This window comes from Homo sapiens, chromosome 4 (genome assembly GCF_000001405.40).
Source record: "Homo sapiens chromosome 4, GRCh38.p14 Primary Assembly".
In the NCBI taxonomy this organism is placed as follows: Eukaryota; Metazoa; Chordata; class Mammalia; order Primates; family Hominidae; genus Homo; species Homo sapiens.
The window spans coordinates 3,935,097-3,955,836 of NC_000004.12; the positions used below are offsets into that span (position 1 = coordinate 3,935,097).

A 20,740-nucleotide genomic window follows, 5' to 3' on the forward strand; every position below is an offset into this window, starting at 1 on the left:
GAAATAAAGGTTGTTTTGCTGAGGATGGGTTACATGGGGCGCGGGACCCAAATGAGTGGTTTGAGCAAAAAGTAGTCTCCACGCTGGACTAATGCTTGGCAACACTATGGGAAAATTTGGAGAAGCCGGGAGAGGAGGGGGCAGAGTTTCTTTCCCAGCCAGCCAGGGTGTCCAGGCACTTTTGGTCCTAGGACATCTCTCTGTGCATTCCCAAGTAATTGCAAGGCTTCTTCTTGTCATCGCCTGAGACTTGGATTCCCCAAGCGTCCTTCTTTTCCTGGAGCCTCTGAGTCCTCCATTCCTGAGGCCTTTCTTCAGCCCTCCCAATAGCCCTGCCATGATTTCATTGCAGGGCTGTGACCGTCTATGACAAGCCGGCATCTTTCTTTCAAGACACACCTCTGGACCTGCAGCGCCAGCTCTTCATGAAGCTCAGCGGCACACACTCTCCGTTCAGGGCCCGGTAGGCCTCCCATCCTCAGCTGCCTTCTCTCCTGCTCGCCACTGCCCTGGCCTGTCCCCTTCTCACTGCAGACCTGGGAACCCACTCACCCAGGGGTTGGCAAAGTAAGGCTACAGGCCAGTCTCCTGCTTTTGTAAATCAAGTGTCATTGGGACACAGCACACTCATTAACTTCTGAGTTGTCTACAGCCGCCTTTGAGCTGCAATAGCAGAATCGTGTTTTGCAACAGAGAACCTGTGGCCCGCAAAGCCTGAAGTATTTACTCTCTGGCCCTTTAAGAAATGTTTGTGGACCCCTGCGCTGTCTTACTCTCCTGCCAATGGGTTCCCAGGCCTGTGGCAGGACCTGTGGACCTGTGTGTCCCCTGGGGTGTCTCATGGGGCTAAGGAGGGGACCTTTGTGCAGGTCCACGCACCCTGAGGTGTGCCCCTGTGTAAGCTGGGGTGGTGTGGGAGGGCGTCCCTGCACCCTCATCTTGAGTCCAGGGGATGATAAGACAGTAAGTCCCGTGGAGAAAAGGAATGAGTCAGTCTTGTTTGCTGTTGTAAACTTATCACCCAGCAACAATATTAGAGAAAGCAAGCCCAGGCCTCGGATGGCAGGGGTGACCTGGTGCTGCTGATGTGGCCGGGCACCCCAACCTTTGGGAGCCTGCAGGCCTTGCCACGGCAGGAGATGCCCGTCCTGGGTCCTGGGCCTGCTCTGTGGCCTCTCACAAGCTTTTTTCCTGCTCTTTCAGCTCAGAACCTGAGGACCCAGCCACGGAGCGGTCGGCCTTCATGAAGAGGGATGCTGGGAGCGGGCTGGTGATGCGTCTCCACGAGCGGCCAGCCCTGCTGGTCAGCAGCACAGGCTGGACAGGTCTGCACGACCCCTGCAACACTTGGGGTTGGTGTGACAGGCACCTGGCCAACCTGTGTTGTCCTCACACCTGCCAGTCCTTCATGCCCCCACCCTGCCACGGTCTCAATGAGAAGGGGAGGTCGTGAGAGCTGTAAGAGGGGTGTCTAGAAACAGGACCCTGACATTCAATTCTCTTCTCATAGAGGACGAAGACTTCTCCATCCTGCTGGCAGCTTTAGAAAGTAGGTGTGTGGCTGCGGTGAGGAGCTCTGGGCTTGTCGGGGGCCACTGAGCTGTGAGCTGCTTGCCTGGCCTGCAGCATGTTCCTGTCCCTGGCCACTGGGTGGGGCAGCCTGGGGACAGTGGGGATGGTGGAGGTGGGCCGCCTTGAATCCCCAGTTGGGTCATTGAGTGACCAGGCCCTCAGGCTGAAATGCCCCCTCCAGGAGAGTATTTCACAGAGGCTGGTGGCCTCCCCACCAGAGCAGTGCTCTTTCTCCACCTGAACAGGTGACTCTGGCTATTGTTTATTTAAAAGTTTTTTTCTGAATGGGCATGGTGGCTCACACCTGTAATCCTAGAACTCTGGGAGGCCGAGGCAGGCAGGTCACCTGAGGGCAGGAGTTCGAGGCCAACATGGCGAAACCTGTCTCTACTAAAAATACAAAAATTAGCTGGGTATGGTGGTGGGGGCCTGTAATCCCAGCTACTTGGGAGGCTGATGCACGAGAATTACTTGAACCCGGGAGGCAGAGGTTGCAGTGAACTGACATCACGCCATTGCATTCCAGCCTGGGTGACAGAGCCAGAGTCTGTCGGAAAAAAAAAAAAAAAAAATTCTACCAGAAATTCCGTGTAGAATTGTTTCTTTTTTTAAACACAGAGTTTGAACAACTGACTCTTGACGGACACAACCTTCCTTCTCTCGTCTGTGTGATAACAGGTACCGCCTGGGCCCCTGGGTGTCTGTGTGGTTGGGGGATGGTGGATGGGGAGGGGCACGCAGCCTTTACCCTGTGCTTCCCACGATCTTGTCTCCTTAATCCTCACTGCAGCTCTCTGCCATAGGGACTTATACTGCTTGACATGGGGGAAACTGAGGCTCAGAGGGTTTCACAGCAGGGCAGGGAGCCCAGATTTGAATCTGTAGATACCAAGCTTTCTACTTTTTCAGTAGTTTCCAAGCATCTTTTTTGTTGTTGTTGTTACATCACTGGTGTCTTTTTTTTTTTTTTGAGACACAGTCTCTATCGCCCAGGCTGGGGTGCAGTGGTGTGATCTTGGCTCACTGCAACCTCCACCTCTCACATTCAAGCAATTCTCGTGCCTTAGCCTCCCGAGTAGCTGGGACTACAGGGGCCCACCACACCCAGCTAATTTTTGTATTTTTAGTAGAGATGGAGTTTCACCCTGTTGGCCAGGCTGGTCTTGAACTCCTGACCTCAGGTGAGCCACCCAACTTGGCCTCCCAATATGCTCGAATTACAGGCATGAATCACTGTGTCTGGCCATGTCATTGGTGCCTTAACCAAGCGTCTTTTAATTTTTTAAACGGAAGAGCCCCTGTCCCACAGTTACTGCTGCTGAGCCCTTTCAAGGTGACTCAGTGAGGAGGGAGAAAAGCGGAAGCGGTGTGGGAAGAGGCGGGGTCTGGGCCAGCTGCTGCTCCTGCTCTCCTCCCTCCTCTGGCCTCTAGGCTCCCAGGAGTGGTTTGGAACCTGCGCCATGTGCTCTGGAGGCTGTGGCAGGGCAGGGGCGTCTTGGAACCTGCGCCATGTGCTCTGGGGGCTGTGCCAGGGAAGGGGGAGTCCTCGTGTCCCCTGCGCACAACACAGACAGAAGGCTGGATCCACCCAGTGGGCGGTCGGGTGCCAGGCCAGTGCTTACTCCGCCATGTTTGCAGCCCGAGGCCAGCTGGCTGCAGGTGCAGGACTATGCCTCAGGGGTCAGGGTGCACACACCCCTGCATGTCTCGGGGCTCCTGGGTAGCTTCTGGAAGGGCCCAGATGGGGCCTGACTGGAGCTGCCGAGGGGTGGAGCTTCTGGGAAAAGGATCCCTCCTAGGGGGGAGTGTCTTGAGCCTGGGGCCATGTGGCAGGGACAGAGACGGGTCCATGGCAGTGTCTCCTCTTCTCTGTGAAGGCAAAGGGCCTCTGAGGGAGTATTACAGCCGCCTCATCCACCAGTAGCATTTCCAGCACATCCAGGTCTGCACCCCCTGGCTGGAGGGCCGAGGACTACCCCCGCTTCTAGGTGAGAGGCCAGCGGGAGGCTCAGGGAGGAGGCAGGGCCTTAAGCAGGGGGAACAGGGGTGGGCAGGATGTACTTTTTCTGAAAAGGTGGCTCTGGAGGCCACTTGGGCACGGGACCTGGGCTCTGGCTGAACTCCCGGGAGGAGGCTACTTTCTGGTGTGCCAGCCCCTCCCAGCCAGGTGGCCCCAGAGGCCCTTTACCAAGGGGTTTGAGGAGGTCACATCCTTTCAGCCTGCCACGCCCTCCATTCAGTCCTCTTCCTTCCTGCAGGAGGGCTGGGCCTGGGGTTGGGGCCACTGTTGCCCAGGTGTAGGAAGGCAGTGGCTTTGGGAGGTACAGGGACGATGTGTCAAACAGCGTCGCCTCTCCCAGTGAGATGGTTCTGCTTTGCCTCCGTCTCTTTCCCCGTTGTTTTCTCCAAGTGGGGAGTTGTGTCTTGGTCCTGATGCGTCTCTAGAGCCGCATCTTCCAGCTTCTAGTGAGCAGAGCAGTTGGAGGCTGAGGCCTTTTCCTGGCAGGACTCTCCAGCTAGTCTTTGTTTTAGACAGTCTCGCTCTGTTGCCTAGGCTGGAGTGCACGATCTCAGCTCATGCAACCTCCGCCTCCTGGGTTCAAGCGATTCTCCCACCTCAGCCTCCCGAGTAGATTATGGGATTACAGGAGCCCTCCACAACACCTGGCTTATTTTTGTATTTTTAGTAGAAACAGGGATTCACCATGTTGGCCAGACTGGTCTTGAACTCCTGACCTCAAGTGATCCTCCTGTCTTGGCCTCCCTAAGTGCTGGGATTCCAGGCGTGACCCATCACGCCTGGTCCCAGCTAGTCTTTAGAAATGTTAAGCCGTTTCGCTTTATTTTCACACTGACAGCTGGTTTGTAGTGGGTGTGCTGTGGTTTATTATTATTATTATTATTATTATTATTATTATTATTATTTTGAGAAGGAGTTTCGCTCTTGTAGCCCAGGCTGCAGTGTAATGGCACGATCTTGGCTCACTGCAACCTCTGCCTTCCCAGGTTCAAGCAATTCTCCTGCCTCAGCCTCCTGAGTAGCTGGGATTACAGGCACCTGCCACGACACTTCGCTAATTTTGTGTTTCTTTTAGTAGAGATGGGGTTTCACCACGTTGGCCAGGCTGGTCTTGAACTCCTGACCTCAGGTGATCCGCCCACCTTGGCCTCCCAAAATGCTGGGATTACATGCGGGAGGTGAACCTGGGAGGTGGAGGTTGCAGTGAGCTGAGATTGTGCCACTGCACTCCAGCCTGGGTGACAGAGTGAGACTCTGTCTCAAAACAAAACAACAACAACAAAAAAACCAAATTGTGATTACGTAGAAAAAGTGTCAACTTACATTTTCAGATGTCCCAGCCAGACCATGTGGCTGCTTGGCCAGCTTAAGCCACTTGTGCTTGGGGCTGCGGGGGGCCTTATCTGATTTTCACTCCCCTCGGGGGATGCTGCCTCACTGTGCTGGGAGGATTTGTGTTCCCAGGGCAGAGACCAGCTCTCTGACCGCACCCCTCTTGCCTAGCAGGGTCGGTGGACCTGGGTGTCTGTCTAGACACGTCCTCCAGTGGCCTGGACCTGCCCATGAAGGTGGTGGACATGTTCAGGAGCTGTTTGCCTGTGTGTGCGTTGTGAACTTCAAGTGGTAGGAGCAGAACCCGAATCTTTCTGGGGATAGCTTCACAGATCCACCGCTGAGGGGGAAACAGTGCAGAGCCAGCTGCCCACAGTGAGGCCCTGCCCCTTGGTCAGTCCAGCACACACTGGAGGCCATGAGGAGGAGCCCTGTGGTTACTGTGGCTGGGCTGAGCCTCACTGAAGTAGTTGCTTCCATTTAGAACTCATGTTATATTTAGGTTGGTACAAAAGTAATCACGGTTTTTGCCATTAAAAATGGCAATAACTTTTGCACCAACCTAATATGAAAAAAGAAAGCACCTTAAATACTAGAACTCCACTCGGGGCTTTTGCTCCTAGAGTAGAATTGGCGGGAATTGCCTGCAGGCTTACATGGTTTTCTTTGTTTTTCTCTCCCACCATGTCCCTTTTGGCCAAGCTCACATGGTGGGTTTGAATGAGTTAAATGAGTGTCATGCTGTGGCCTCACTGCACCCAGCATAGATGGGTGTTTGGAAGGGTGGCGTTAGAGGAGATTCTAGAAGCAGTAGCCCCAGCACAAGTTGAGCCCTTGGCCCCTGCTCAGGAGCCGGCTCCTGGATGGGATTCAGGGATTCAAGCCCCTCGTGTGAGCTGAGCTCAGGGAACGTCTTGATCAAATCTGGTGCCCTAGAAAAGTCATCTTTTATGTGCTGAACCAGTCTCCAGGGGGTTGCCTTACTTGTTCCACAGCCATGGAATTAAGAAAAACATACAAAAATAATTCTTCAGTCCTTGAAGAGCATCCAGCACAGAAGGTACAAACCCTCCTTAAGGCTCCCTCCTCAAATCGGTTTGGCCATTTTGATGTGCACTCCCCCAGGCCTTTATACCCTTCAGATGCCAAATCTAAGAACCAGCTCCCAGAAACCACACCCCCTGTTCCAATCCCCAGCCTGGCTTGAGCGTGGGGTGCGAGGGGAGCCCAGGTGGGCACCCCAGGGGTCTGGTGTCTTCTCCAGGCAGCTCTCAGGCTCCCTTGGTTCTCTCTGCAGTTTACATGAGCTGGTGAAACATCAAGAAAACGGCTTGGTCTTTGAGGACTCAGAGGAACTGGCAGCTCAGCTGCAGGTAGCCACATCTGCCACTAAGCCAGGGTGGGCAGGGTTCTGGAGACTGGCACCGAGCCACGCTCCCTGATCCCTGCTTCCCACAGTCGGGGTGGGACCATGTGGGGTCTGGCGGAAAAGCTAGGGAGGGAGCAGAGGTCACAGAGGCTGGCCTACTCTGCTGTCCCGTTTCGGTACAGTAGGCTCGGGAAAGTTAGGACACAACCCCACCTGCCCGCCTGCCCGCTGGATTTATGGAACAGACACTCCACAAATGACGCTGGAGCCGGGTGGGCCGGGCTGCAGTTTAGGAAGTGAGCAGGATCAGGTAGGTGAGTGGGCAAAGGGAGCTTCTGGGACCAGCCTTGAAAGATGGGTGGAATTCTGCAAATGTTACTTGTTTCTTATTGCAAAAAGTAATACATCGTTCTTGCCAACAGAATGACTGGCAGGATTTTCAGTAAAGGTCCAAGTCGGAAGTCATTTAGACTGGGTCCCCTAGTCTCTGTCAGAACCATGGTACTCTGTTGGGGTGTGAAAGTAGCCACAGATCATCTGTAGATTAAGGGGTGTGGCTTTGTTCCAATAAATCTTTATTTACAAACACAGGCTGTGGGCTGGATTTGGCCTGCAGGCTGTAGTTTGTGATCCTTGATTCAGACAGTTTAGCAAGGCTGAAAAGAACACCGACACCCCCTTGTTACCCACAGATGGGTGGGACTTGGCCAGAGGCCAAGAGGAGGGTGCTCGCAGGGGAGCATACAGCATGAAGAGGCCGGGAGGTGCCCCAGGACACCAAGTGTGGGAAAGTGGGACATGCGGGGAAGTTCCCAGAAAGCGTGATGTCAAGTTGGAGGCGGAGCGCTGCTGGGGCGTGAAGAGTCTCGAGTCCAAGTGAGGGAGTTAAGAACTTGGTAGGGGTTGTTGTTGGGTCGGGCACCTGGGGTCAGCCAGGTGGTGACCTGGGATGCGGTGGGGACAGGCAATGAGGTAAGCTCTGCTCTTTAGTATTATGCAGATGCTTTTCTCAAACTTTCCTGATCCTGCAGGCAAGCTAAACCTGTTCCGGAAGAACCTGCGGGAGTCGCAGCAGCTCCGATGGGATGAGAGCTGGGTGCAGACTGTGCTCCCTTTGGTTATGGACACATAACTCCTGGGCCAGAGGCTAAAACCCCAGGGCCCCTGCTGTCCTTCCCGCAGCTTCTTCTTGGAGTCTCAGGGCAAACCCTTTCAAGCAGCGCCTCCCAGTGGCCAGAAGCTGAAATGACGGCAGTGGTGCCGCCTGGTGAGTGAATTGCTTCTGTGACCCGGGAAGCTGTGGTTGGCTCTGATTTCTTTTTTGGAGGCTTGGAAACACTTCCTCTCTTCTTCTGTTCTTCACGCCCCATGCCCCTGCTAGCGTACTACTGTTCTGTGACTTCCCTGTGACCTCTGCAGTACTCCTCATCCTGCGTTTGGTCTCCAGGTGTCGCCTTTCTGCCGTGTTCCTAATATTTTGATTCCTGTCTTGAAAAAAGCACCTGCTGCACAGTAAGCCCAGGGATGTGGCAGCTGCAGCGGGCTTGGCTTTGTGAGGAACCGGGTGTGTCCACGTTGGGGGAACATCATACTTGATACACACGTTTTTATTTGCACAAAGAAAATGCTATTTTTAGAGCCAGAATTTTCATGTCTGATTTATGGTGATTTTCTTAAGAACCAGAACTGCTGGCAGAAAGGGGGCACCCACACGCTTAGATAGCCGATGTCTTATTAGAGGGCAGTTTGTGGTTCCTGATTTGGAAATTAATATTCTCCAAACATTCCAGTCCAATGAAAGTTTTATCCGCTTTCCCATGTAAAAATTCTTCCCATGAGAGTGACTTGATCCTCACAATCCCGTTGAAGTCGCGTGTGAGTCCTACAGTATTAGGTTCAGCATTGCCATCTCCAAGTGCTCTTTGTAGGGAAACAGTTTCTGGTCATGACAAGCTTCCACTTCCCATCTGATCCTGGCCTGGCCTGGAAACAGAGCACATGTGTTTGAGGATGGCGGTGTTTGGGGACAGGACATGAGCGTATTGTGTGGGGCTGCTAGGACAGGCGTGGTGTGGTGGGGGAGTGTCCAAGTCAGTCTACTTGTTTCACAGTTTCCCAGTCCCACCCAGGTACCTAGAATTGGCCTCCAGGATGGGACCAGAAATCTGGTTTTGCATAGAAATGGTTAGCAGCAGGCACCGTGCCGCTGTCCACTCTCTGCTGGCGTCTGCCCCAGCACTTGGCACAGCGGGACAGAAGCAGAGCTCTGAACCCACATCTACCTGGCTGCCCAGTCAACCCACTCTTCACAAAGCTTAGAAAGCGGCCGGGCACAGTGGCTCACGCCTGTAATCCCAACACTTTGGGAGGCCAAGGTGGGGGGATCACTTGAGGTCAGGAGTTCGAGAGCAGCCTGGCCAACATGGTGAAACCCCATCTCTACAAAAATACAAAAATTAGCCAGGCATGATGGCGGGTGCCTGTAATCCCAGCTACCTGGGAGGCTGAGGCAGGAGAATTGCTTGAACCCAGGAGGCAGAGGTTGCAGTGAGCTGAGATTGTGCCACTGCACTCCAGCCTGAGTGACAGAGTGAGACTCCATTTCAAAAAAAAAACACCAAAAAAAACAAAACAAAACAAACAAACAAAAACACACACACACAGCTTAGAAGGGGCTGGTGTTCTCATAAGCACAGATGTCTGAAGAGCCGTTAGCCAGAATGATTCTTTTTTTTTTTTTTTTTTTGAGATACGATCTTGTTCTTTCACCCAGGCTGGAGTGCAGTGGCACAGTCATTGCTCACCACAGCCTTGACTCCTGGGCTCTAGCAATCCTCCCATTTCCTGACTAGCTGGGATGACAGGTGCGTGCCACCATGCCAGTAATTTTTTTATTTTGTAGAGATGGGGTCCTGAACCCATGGCCTCAAATGATGCTCCTGCCTCAGCCTCTTTTATTATTTTTTTTTTGGACGGAGTTTAACTCTGTTCCCCTAGCTGGAGTGCAGTGGCGCAATCTCAGCTCACTGCGATGCCTCCCAGGTTCAAGTGATCCTCCTGCATCAGCATCCCGAGTAGCTGGGATTATAGGCGTGCAGCACCACGCCTGGCTAATTTTTGTGTTTTTAGTAGAGATGGGGTTTCACCGTGTTGGCCAGGCTGGTCTTGATCTCTTGACCTCAAGTGATCCGCTCACCTCAGCCTCCCAAATCCTCAGCCTCTTACAGTGTTGGGATTACAGGTGTGAGACACTGTGACCCGGGATGATTTTCAATCACAGTTTTTTGTTACAAGTGGAAAATGCATATCTATAAAAATGAAGTAGTGCAGACATGAATGTGTAGAAGTCTCTATAATCCTGCCATCCAAGGATGGCACCTGTTAACGAGTGTATTAGGGATGTCCAATCTTTTGGCCTCCCTGTGCCACATTGGAAGAAGAATCACCTTGGGCCACACATAAAATACACTAACGCTAGCAATAGCTGATGAGCTAAAAGAAAAAAATTCACAAAAAAACCTCGTACTGTTTTAAGAAAGTTTACAGATTTGTGTTGGGCCGCAGGTTGGACAAGCCTGCTATATATATATTCTAGGTTTTCTCCTATAGGTATACTTATGTGAAAATGATGATTGTGATAATTTTTTTTTTGAGATGAAGTCTTGCTACGTTGCTCAAGGTTGCCACAAACTCCTGGGCTTAAGCCATCCTCCCGTCTCAGCCTCCTGAGTAGTTGGGAATATAGGTAGTCATAACCATGTCTGGGTGATTATTATTAGTTTTTAAACAAAAATGGGGCTGGGCACAGTGGCACACGCCTGTCATCCTAACACTTTGGGAAGCTGAGGCAGCAGATCACTTGAGGTCAGGAGTTCAAGATCAGCCTGGCCAACATGGCAAAACCTTGACTCTACAAAAAATAAAAAAATTAGCCAGGTGTGGTAGCACCTGCCTGTAGTCCCATCTACTCAGGAGGCTGAGATGGGAGGATAGCTTGAACCTGGGAGGTGAGAGGTTGCAGTGGGCCGAGATGGCACCACTGCACTCCAGCCTGGGCAATACAAAGCCAGACTCTGTCTCAAAAAAAAAAAAAAAAAAAAAATGGTGGGTGGGTTCTTATACTATGTGTGCTGCTTGGCACTGTTTTTTTCACTTAAAAGATATTGCAGGTATTTTTTCACGTAAGTATCTGAAGAAAGACTTCCTTTTTTTTTTTTTTTTTTTTTGCCTTTTTGAGACAGGATCTTGCTCTGTTGCCCAGGCTGGAGTGTAGTGGTGAGATCAGGGCTCATTGTAGCCTCCACCTCCTGGGATCAAGCCATCCTCCACCTCAGCCTCCCGAGTAGCTGGGACTACAGGTGTGTGAAACCACGCCTGGCTAGTTTCTGTATGTTTTGTGAATACGGGATCCCACTATGTGGCCCAGGTTCGTCTTGAACACCTGGGGTCAAGTAGTCCTCCTGCCTTAGCCTCCTAAAGTGCTGGGATGACAGGCCTGGGCCCCGCACCCGGCCAGCCTCCTGTGCGAGGTTGTGCAGGACTCTGTCGTGGAACCCAGTACGCCTTCGTGTGCCGGCTTGTTTGTTTACTCTGTAGTTAACGGGCTGCCCCACGTGGACAGTCACTGGGTCGTCCGTGTCTCTGTGTGCAGGCAGAGGCTGCTGTGCGTGCATCTGTGCACATGGCTGCCAGGAGGGGCTGTGCTCAGGGGGAGCTGGGGCAAAGGCTGGTGGCAATGGGGGGCTTGGATGTAGTGTGGAGACCTGCGAGCCAGGTGGCCGGGCTGCAGTGTGCGGGAGCTCGGGGGTCACTTGGCCTCCGTGTGTCCTAGTGTATTTGTCACTGAGATGGGACAAGGACAGCACACCCTCACAGGTGCTGGGGGCTGACAAATGTTAGGTCTAAGGACAGTGGCTGGCCCACTACAGGGCCAATTCCCCTTCTCTACAGTCACTCTGCTTGTCTTCCACCGACTGGGTGCTCAGGACAGTGGCGTGGTGGATCCGCCTGTACAGCCTGTGCTCCAGCATCCTGCTGGCCACAGCTGTGTCCAGCCCTGACCCCGACTGCCCCTCCCACCACCTCCATTTTATAGATGAGAAAACAGAGGCCCAAGGGCTTAGGGAACCCTGCTCTGAAGCACACAGTAGGGCTGCTAGGCTCAGACCCTCCTTCCTGTGCTGAGCTGCCCTCCTCCTGCCTCAAGCCCCCCATGCTCCAAGCCCACCCTGCTCACCGGCCTCTGCCCGAGTTCCCCGCATGGTGTGGGAGTGTGGGGCATGCTAGCTTTACGCCGGCGCCCAGTTCTTTCACTTCCACTGGAGTCCTGCAGGGACAGCTCGGGGACCATGCAGGCCCGGGTGGGCGTGGGGACTCAACTAGCTCAGTGGTGAACAGCTGGCACGTCTGTGGGTTGTGGACGGTAAAGGCCACGTAGACCTCAGGAGCCCGCTGGTGCTCCCGGCAGGCAGCCAGCCTCCGCAGGACCCCGACTAGCGACACGATGGCTTCTGGGCAATACAGCACGTCTACGGTGAAATCTTCAGGTTACTGAAAGGGACAAGTGGAAAGTTCCAGGTCATGCTGACCACAGCAGCAGGGCGAGGCCAGAGAGGCAGCGGTCATATGAGACTATTAGATGCCATTTAAACATTTGGGCCATTAGATGGAAAGGCAATTACTACGGTGAAAAAGGAGAACCCTTAGAGAAAGCTGCAAAAGACCGAAGCAAAAGAAAAAAATGTCCAGACTCACTGGTGTTCCTTAAAAAACCAGCTCTGGTTTTCGGCCTATCTAGAGGGCTTTGAATGACACAAAGCCTGAATCTGCCATGAACTTCGTGTTTCAGGTATCCGCTGATTTGTCTGCTGGCTTGCAGGGGTGGGCCTGTGTCCCTGGCCACCGCTGGACCTGTGGTTTTCAGGGCTGGGACCCAGGACCACAGGCAGAGCTCTGTTCCATCAGAGAGGGGACTGAGTGTGCTGGCAGGGGCGAGGGGTTTTCGGTGGCCCAGCCAAACACCACCTTCTCTCAAGTGCCCTGTCCTCATCCCAGAAGTGGTTGTTTTCCTCCGGTGGTCTCTGAAGGACACAGGGCATGGCTCTGGGACAGAGCCATGTGGTGACAACTGGAACGGGAGTATGCCTGTCTCCAGCAAGAGGGCTGTGGCTTGAAGGTCACCTTAAGAGGCACCCCTGTCCTTTGATGTCAGCCTGGAGGCCCAGAGTAACTCTTCTGGAAGCCCCATCATGTCCATGCCTGACAGCATCCATTGTTCCCTTTTCCCAGAGCCAAGAGCTGGGTAGAGCTGCAAGGACACCGCCTGCACAGGATGCCCGGGGCTGGGCATTACCTGCTGCAATGACAACATCTGGCTGGACGGCAGAGAGCTGACAGACCGTCGCGACGTCCCAGTCCAGCTGGGCCACTGTCACCCTGGGGCCGTCTAAGTTGGCAGTGATGTCTGCCTCTAATGAGAGGCCATTGAGAAGGACATTCCCTCGGAGCTGCTCGAGGACCCGGCTGTGACAGTCGCTGAAGATGTACGCCCGGGGGCGGCACATCTTGCAGATGGCCAGGCCTGTGAGGCCGGCGCCACTGCCAAGCTTTAGGACAGTCCTGGTGGGAGGAAAGGGGACCGTGTCTGTGACTGCACCAGGGTAAGCCTGCCTCGGTGCCCTGCCCTGCGCCCCGAGGTCACCTGTGAGTGAAGGCTGCTGGGTTCTCGGCCCATTCTGCAAGGTAGAGGGCAGCGTCCCATGTGACCAGGCCTGTGGTGCCGTGGGAGATGATGGCTGTGCTCTTGGAGAGTGTGACCGAGCCTCCCGAGGGCTGCACCAAGAGAGGGCGAGAGAGTCAGTCCAGCAATCAGAAGACAAGTGGCATAGAAGACAAGTAGCCATCCACCACATGGCTGAATAAACCATGACAGGACCAATCGCTACTCAGCAATGAGAAACAGCTAACTGTTGACATGCCATCAGCTTGCACAGGCCTCAAGGGTGTCATGTGGCATGAAAGACACTCATCTCAGGCCATACAGGATTCCATTCATTGAACATTCCTGAGACAACAGAATTCTGGCGATGGAGCACTGGTCAGTGGTGGCCAGGGGCCGGGTGTGGCTATGAAGGGGTGGCTGCCTTGTGATGATTCAATATGCTGTGTTTGTCCTTTGTGGTTTTCTGTATCTATGTTTTATGTTATTTTTTTTCAGTTCTGTCACCCAGGCTGGAGTCAGTGGCATGATCTTGGCTCACTGCAACCTCTGCCTCCTGGGTTCAAGCAATTCTCCTGCCTCAGTCGCCCAAGTAGCTGCGAGTACAGACACGTGCCGCCATGTCTGGCTAATTTTTGTACTTTTTTTTGAGACAGAGGTTCACTCTCGTTGCCCAGGCTGGAGTGCAATGGCCCGATCTTGGCTCACTACAACCTCCAGCTCCTGGGTTCAAGAGATTCTCCTGCCTCAGCCTCCAGAGTAGCTGGGATTGCAGGTGCTCATTACCACACCCTGCTAATTTTTGTATTTTTAGTAAAGATGGAGTTTCACCATGTTGGCCAGGCTGGTCTCAAACTCCTGACCTCAGGTGATACCCCTGCCTCAGCCTCCCAAAGTGCTGGGATTACAGGCATGAGCCACCACGCCCAGCCTAATTTTTGTATTTTTAGTAGAGACAGGGTTTCACCATATTGGCCAGGCTGGTCTCGAACTCCTGACCTCAGATCCACCAGCCTCGGCCTCCCAAAGTGCTGGGATTACAGGCGTGAGCCACCACACCCAGCCCTGTCAGGTGTTCTTTGAGGACTGGGCACCAGGTCCTTGTGAAGCAGGTAGTGTGTGCCACCCATTGGACAAATGCCCAACAACCGCACGAGGCATGATGTTGTTGTTGAAGTGCCTGATTTACAGACAGGGAAACTGAGGCTAAAGAAGGTTAATGGACCTCATATCTAAGACTGCAGAATGGGTGAGTCAGGATTTGAACCCACACCCACGTTTTCACTTTGTGCAGGAAGGGTATCTGGGCTGTGAGGGGGAGGAGGGTGCCCTTCTCATACCAGCAAATAGCTCCAGTGGCCCTGGGTGGACTCCTTGGCCATCAAAGTCTCCGCCAGCACCTCGTACAGCTCGTCCAAAGGCTCTGTGTGGACAGCCTCGTGCTGGGGGCAGGCTGAGTGAGAGCTTGTTTGCTTTCGTTCTAATCTGTAAAAATGGCCAGATGATTTTCGCCAGGTTTGGAGGGGAGATTTGGGATGGAATGGTGTAATACCGGCCAGCTGCCATATAAAATATTCACTTCATTGGGCGTGGTGGTGTGTGCCGAATAGTTCCAGCTACTCTAGAAGCTGACATGACAGGACTGCTTGAGCCCAGGAGTTCGAGGACAGCCTGGGCAAGAGACCTTATCTCTAAAAAAAAAATTCACTTGGTAGGGAAACCTGGATGGGAGGGCCTTCAACAAGAGGTGTTGAGAGGGTAGGGTTAGGTGTAGTCTAGGGCAGGAGACAAGAATTCCATGAGAGCTGCCACTTGACCATGACAGAGAGCTCTGTGTTTGGATCAAACACAGAGAGGAGGAAAACAAAAGGTGCTTTTAAGTGAGCCCAGGCAGAACTGTGAGGGCGGCCCATGCTGCAGGCTGTGGCTGTCAGCAGGCTGCTTCTCCACGGCTGGCCCCGTCCTAAGATTCACAGGGCAGCAACAGGGTACACTGGATGACCGCTGCCCTCTCCTGGTGGCACAGGGCAGACCTGCTGGTGACCACAGATGCAGCCTTTTGGGGAGGACTAGGGAGAAAGCAGGTATTGGAGAAGCAGGGGATTGTTTATTTGCTAAAAGTGTGGCCCTTTCACTCAGCAGGTCTGCTACTGCCTAGTGAGGAACGGCCTCTAGACATCCTCATGTCAAACCCTGCATGTTCAGGCCCATCTTTAAAATCCATCCTAGGCCAGGTGCAGTGGCTCTTGCCTGTAATCCCAGCACTTTGGGAGGCCAAGGCAGGTGGATCACCTGAGGTCAGGAGTTCGAGACCAGCCTGGCCAACATGGTGAAATTCTGTCTCTATTAAAAATACAAAAATTAGCCAGGCATGGTGGCGTGTGCCTGTAGTCCCAGCTTCTTAGGAGGCTAGGCATGAGAGCTGCTTGAACCCAGGAGGCAGAGGTTTCAGGGAGCCGAGATTATGCCATGGTAATCCAGCCTGGGCAACACAGTGAGACTGTCTCAAAAAAATAAATAAATAAGTAAAAAATAAAATCCATCCTGTATCAGTCAGGAAAGAGCTCATTCCAGCAGGATCAATGCAGAGAATTCACCAGAGGAACTAGTTCCAAAGGTGTGGCAAGAGCTAAACCTTCCAACAGGGGCCTGTGGGGCAACCCAGAGATGGACAAGAGCAGGAAACTCCAAACCCTTTGGCGGGCAGGACAGAGGGTGTGGGTGCGGGTTCCAGTGCTGTTTGCTGGGCCAGCCTGGTAGGAATGAGAATCCATATGCTAGGAGCTGGGGCTCCAGAGAAGCAGCTGCTGCGGAAACCCCAGGAGGCAGAGTGAGGGAGAGACGCTGGCCTCCCCTTCTTCCCGCCCTGCACTGTCTCCCATGGGTCACACGCAGTTGCAGCCAGTTGCCTGGGGAGACCCCTGCCATGCTGGGGTTTGCAAAGCAGGCCCAGAGACTGGGAAGGACGGGGGCTCCAGCACGCAGGTGGCTATGCTGTCCCACTACTCTGCGGACACTGCCCATAACTGACCTTTTTCATGAGTTCTGAGAGAAAGCACCGGGCATACTTGACTGACGGCGGGTGCTTCACACACACAGGATGCTTCACAGTCTATGGCAAAGGACAGAACGTTGGTTGCTGGGGAGAGCCCATCTGAAGTCTCCTATGAGCTTCAAGCCAACACAGCAGAGGGCAAACTCCAGGCTACCCGATCCCTCAGCAAAGATGTAGATGGACACAGCGTTCTGGCCCCACGCATCTGAAGTTTGTCTTAAGATATAAGCCGTTTCCTAAAAATGCTTCCACTGCAGTGGCACAGGCTATGGCAGCATTTCTAATGCCCATTCTGAGCAGGAACACAGGGCATGTGGGCCCAAACCACCTCCCTCCCAGGGGAGCCAGTGTGAACCAGGGTTTGCAGTAAGGACAGTCGCCAACTGTCTGGCTCTATGGAAGAGGCGGGAAGGCCCACTCAGCAACTGCTCTCTTGGAGCATCTGTCCCTGGGGACAGGATGGAGGGGAAGGGACGCTCAGGGTGACACTCCAGCTAAAGCCAAGAGAAGCCAAGTGCAGGACGAGCAAGTTCCAGGCAGTGGGAACAGCCGGTGTAAGCTCTGAGGTATCCACGGCCTAGCACATGGAAAGGAGGGCAGAGGGACTGGTGCAGCAGGAGTGGGGACGGTGGGAAAACAGGAGTCTGGAGGGAGAGGGAGGAGATGGTCCGCAGCACCTGCTGGCTGGGAGGGATGCAGATTCTGCCCAAGGGCAGAAAAGTACCCCACGCAATACACAGGCCCTTCAGGCTGGTGCTGGTTTTTCATTTTTTCTGACACAGTCTCGTTGTGTTGCCCAGGCTGGAGTGCAGTGGCCCGATCTTGGCTTATGGCAGCCTCCACCCCCCGGGTTCAAGCGATTCTCCTGCCTCAGCCTCCCGAGTAGCTGGGACTATAGGCGTGCAAAACCACACCCAGCTAATTTTTGTATTTTTAGTAGAGATGGGTTTTTGCCATGTTGGCTAGAGTGGTCTCGAACTCCTGACCTTAGGTGATCCGTCCACCTCAGCTTCCCAAAGTCCTGGGATTACAGGTGTGAGCCAGTGCACCCAGCCTTGTGCTGGGTTTTAAAGCAGCTCTCCCCACATTTCATGCTTCACCACCTACGAGAGTGAGGCTCAGGGTGAAACTCAGAGCAGGGTGCGAGATAACTTCAGGTATCTCCATGCTTGAAGCCCTGACCTACTGTATTGCCCCGAAAGTCTTCCCTGCTGTGGCTGCATCTTTTCCACGTGGATAATCTTGGTTCACCTCTAGCACAGGAATTCTTCCCCGGGGCTCCTAGGATGGGCTGGGTGGGTGAGGGTGGAGGATGTCTGCCTCCCCTGAGTTTGTATGGAAAATGTATTCTTCTGGTGCACTTCTTTCTGGGAGGGAGTCTATTGCTTTGTCTTTTCAGAAGGGCTGATGGCCCTTCGAAGGTGAAGACCCAGGATGCAGGGTGATCTGCACTTGGCCCTCAAGGCCAAGGTCAGGCTGCGGCTGGGCCGGGTGGTGATCCTGCCTCTCACCTGCATGCAGATGCTCTTGAGTCCAAACCCCACCCTGGGCAAAGCAAGGGCCCATTTAGGTTTAGAAGAGACAGGAGTGGGCAGGACAGGCCTCATGAATGCAAAAAAGAAAGTCTCTGAGCATCTACCAAATGCTAGAAGCTGTCTTGCACCTGTCATCTCTGTTTTTGCTGTGGATGGTTTAAAAAACTTTCCCTAGATTCCCCCCTCTCATGCAGATTTTTGTATATTCTGATGTCTTTGTCTAAGTCTTAGAAAATGAAAGAGCTGGAGCCGTCGGAGGTGCCCACACCCACCTGCAGTGCTGACTCAATGGTTTTGTTCTTTGAACAGGGGTGTTTTTAAAGGGTACAAGCACACCTGCGGTTCTTCTCTCAGGTCTTCCGGAGAGATTCAGGAGGCAGAGTCATGAGTCCCAGGGACTCTGGGATTCTTACCTTCTGCAAAATATCCCGCCGCAGCTCAGAATCTGATGAGTCTCTTAACTTTGCTTCTAAGCTCTGTGTGGAGGGGAGAGAGAGAAATCTCAAGGGTGCATTCACAAGAACATTAAACACGCAATAGAATGTGTTGGCAAAGCACTGTGTGATCTCTCCCTGGGGACGTGGAGCCAGTTGGAAGTGGAAGCCACAGCAGCTGAAAGCCTGACATTCAGATGCCGCAGGGTGCACCTGGATGAGTCACAGGAAGAAGGCTAGAAGAGTGACTCTTGGCCGCATTAGTCCTGGCTACTTAGCTGCCACCCAGGTCATGGGCCAGCTCCCTGGTTGCACTGGTCAGCCAGGAATTACCAGGGCAGCCATGGCACCAAGGTTTGATGGGCTTGCCATCTGAGTTTAAGTGGAAATGCAGAATGTGCCCATACCAGCCTGGGTTACATTGTCCTCTTACAGGGGCCTCAAGCCCAGCAGCGAACTTGGGCTCCCGACTTAGGCAGACTGTCTCGGCTGGTATGTGACACAGGGCAAGGCACTTCATTGCTTCAGAGCTCCTTCCATGCTGTGAAAGGCCCTACAAGACCTGGTCCTAATCCCTCTCTCTGGCCTGTTCTCCCTCACCCCTGGCCCACCCTGCTCACTCCACTCCAGCCACACTGGCTGCCTTGCTGTTGTTCCTCAACCACAGCTGGCTTGTTTCCACCACAGGGCCTTTGCATATCCTGTTCCCCAAGCCCTTCCCATGGCTGGCTGCTTCACCAGTCAGGCCCCAGTTTAAATGCCACCTCTTTGGGGAAGGCTTCCCTGATTCCCCGACTTTGGTGACTCTTCTCCCCAGTTGCTCCATTCACCATTTCCCTGTTTTATTGGCTTTAGAGCCACTCTCATCTGGTCTTTTCTTGTTTATTCATTTCTTTGTTTATTCTCTGGCTCTCCCATGCAAGCAGAGCCTCATCTGTCATGGGTACTGCTGATCCATGGTGCCAGGCTCACGGAAGGCATTTATTAAACATTTCGAGACTGAATAAAAACACTAGCTAACACCGACATGCATTTACCATGAGCCAGGCACTGATCCACAGGCTTTTGTACTCAACCCTGACAACAACCCTAAGAGGTAGCTATCATTATATCCCCCATTTTATTAAGAAAAAAACAACAGCACAGAGAGATGCAGTCACTTGCCCAAGGTCACACAGGGCCAGGGGCTGGGCCAGGATTGGAAGCAGACAGGCTGTCTCCTGGGTCTGAACTCTCAACTACTGCACCCTAATCAAACAATCCCTCTGGTCAAATGTGAGTGATAATAATAGTACCCACCTCGTGGGTGTTGAGGGTGAGCCCAAGTTAGCATTCAGCGTGGGCATGTGAACAATTATAGTCAATATTGAATGGAGACCTATGATGCTTTTAGGAAGGTTTCTATTTAGGGTTAAAAACGCACAAATTTCTCCTGACCAGAAATGATCTCTGAGTGCAAATATTTCATGTCAATGGAATAACGCAAACGATTAAGCAACACCCCATAAAATGGGGCAGACCCAGGGAGGAATATATATCCAAACTGACTCATCCCAGTGAGCTCACCGCACATGAATTACAAATGTGTCCGGGTGCATTAAGCTCCTCTGCTGGCAGAAGGGAGGCTGCTGCCTGCCATGCGCCTGTGCTGAGAATGGGAGGTCCCCAGGGAGACAAGAGGCCACCCCCTTCTCTGTCTCTTCCATCACAGGCGTGAGAGCCTCAGCGCATGAGCCGATTCTGTGCAGTGCTCGACATACAGATGAGAACACTGAGGCACGAGGGACAGCCTGTGACCTGGTCACCGCACTCAGGAGGACGTGGTTACCTGCGGTCCTGAGGGCGCTGACTTTTTAGAATGGGCGAGGGCAGCTGTGTCGCAGTGACCAGAACGATTACTGCCTTTAAAAAGTCGTGAAAATGATCGTGAACTGTACCCCACAACGAGCGCGCGTCTGCCCCCCAAGACGGTGGAGACGCCCCCAGCTTACGCCGCCAGCCCGCGGGGCAGGAGGGGTGCGAGCGACTCTGGCCAGGCCCCAGGGACGGGGACCGGGTCGCGCCGACCTGACCGGCGGGAGCCCAGGCACTCACGTGGCGGGAGCGCCGGGGGCTTCAGCACGGAGACACATCCCGTCTGCCCCTGGACTCCCGCGAGCCCCGCGGGCCTCTCCGCTCGCCCCGCCGCCCACCTGCCAGGGGAAGGAGCGCAGTGAGCGCGCCGCCAGGAAGCGGCGCTCGAAACTCTGCAGCAAGAGTTCTGTCCCCGCGTTCTCCTAGGGCGCCATGGCGTGGGCGGGGCCGCAGCGTTGCCGGGAGACCGGGCGGAAGCCGGGCCTGGACTGAAGAGGGGGCGGGCCCAGGGTAGTGCGCAGGGGCAGAGAGGGGGCGGGGCCCGGGGGCAGGGTCAGGAGGAGAGTGGTGGTGGCGTTTCTAAGGTGGGGCCAGGATGAGCGTCATGAGGGCGAGGCCTGGGGAGGGCCAGGATAAGCGTTGTTGGGGCAGGTCCTGGGGAGAGTTCAGGTTGGCGGGTCCTGGGGCGGGGTCGGGACAGGGTGATCCTGGAAGCGGGGCTTCGGAAGCGTCCAGGTTGGCGGGTCCTGGAGGCGGGGCCTTGCGTGGGGGCAGGATAAGAGTCCTGGAGGCGGGCGTTAGGGTGGGGGTAAACGATGATTGGGTTCAGGAGGTGAGACTCGGAGCAGAGC

At 53.9% G+C, this 20,740-nt stretch overlaps 2 pseudogenes across 3 annotated transcripts, besides 4 other annotated features; one reads left to right on the forward strand and one right to left on the reverse strand.

The window, feature by feature from the left end:
* Nucleotides 350-9,952, forward strand: ALG1L7P (ALG1 like 7, pseudogene; annotated as a pseudogene).
* Nucleotides 2,593-3,338: an enhancer, noted in NCBI's record as "H3K27ac-H3K4me1 hESC enhancer chr4:3939416-3940161 (GRCh37/hg19 assembly coordinates)". NCBI's record gives its function as "activates a minimal SCP1, AML or CMV promoter by ChIP-STARR-seq in primed H9 embryonic stem cells {active_cell/tissue: H9 hESC(primed)}" and the evidence as "EXISTENCE:reporter gene assay evidence [ECO:0000049][PMID:30033119]".
* FAM86EP (family with sequence similarity 86 member E, pseudogene) lies at nucleotides 6,664-20,332 on the reverse strand (annotated as a pseudogene). 3 transcript variants are annotated; one of them, NR_130741.1, is made up of 4 exons: nucleotides 20,228-20,332; nucleotides 18,015-18,077; nucleotides 12,994-13,124; nucleotides 6,664-8,276 (listed from the first exon to the last, which is right to left on the reverse strand). The product of NR_130741.1 is annotated as a family with sequence similarity 86 member E, pseudogene, transcript variant 2 (transcript). The 3 variants fall into 3 exon arrangements; NR_130740.1 differs by having other exon boundaries at nucleotides 12,048-13,124; NR_130742.1 differs by lacking the exon at nucleotides 12,994-13,124 and adding an exon at nucleotides 16,043-16,123.
* Nucleotides 10,541-11,041: an enhancer, noted in NCBI's record as "H3K4me1 hESC enhancer chr4:3947364-3947864 (GRCh37/hg19 assembly coordinates)". NCBI's record gives its function as "activates a minimal SCP1, AML or CMV promoter by ChIP-STARR-seq in primed H9 embryonic stem cells {active_cell/tissue: H9 hESC(primed)}" and the evidence as "EXISTENCE:reporter gene assay evidence [ECO:0000049][PMID:30033119]".
* Nucleotides 12,363-12,863: an enhancer, noted in NCBI's record as "H3K4me1 hESC enhancer chr4:3949186-3949686 (GRCh37/hg19 assembly coordinates)". NCBI's record gives its function as "activates a minimal SCP1, AML or CMV promoter by ChIP-STARR-seq in primed H9 embryonic stem cells {active_cell/tissue: H9 hESC(primed)}" and the evidence as "EXISTENCE:reporter gene assay evidence [ECO:0000049][PMID:30033119]".
* Nucleotides 20,031-20,470: a silencer, noted in NCBI's record as "silent region_15210". NCBI's record gives its function as "represses an Ori minimal core promoter by ATAC-STARR-seq in GM12878 lymphoblastoid cells {active_cell/tissue: GM12878}" and the evidence as "EXISTENCE:reporter gene assay evidence [ECO:0000049][PMID:35858748]".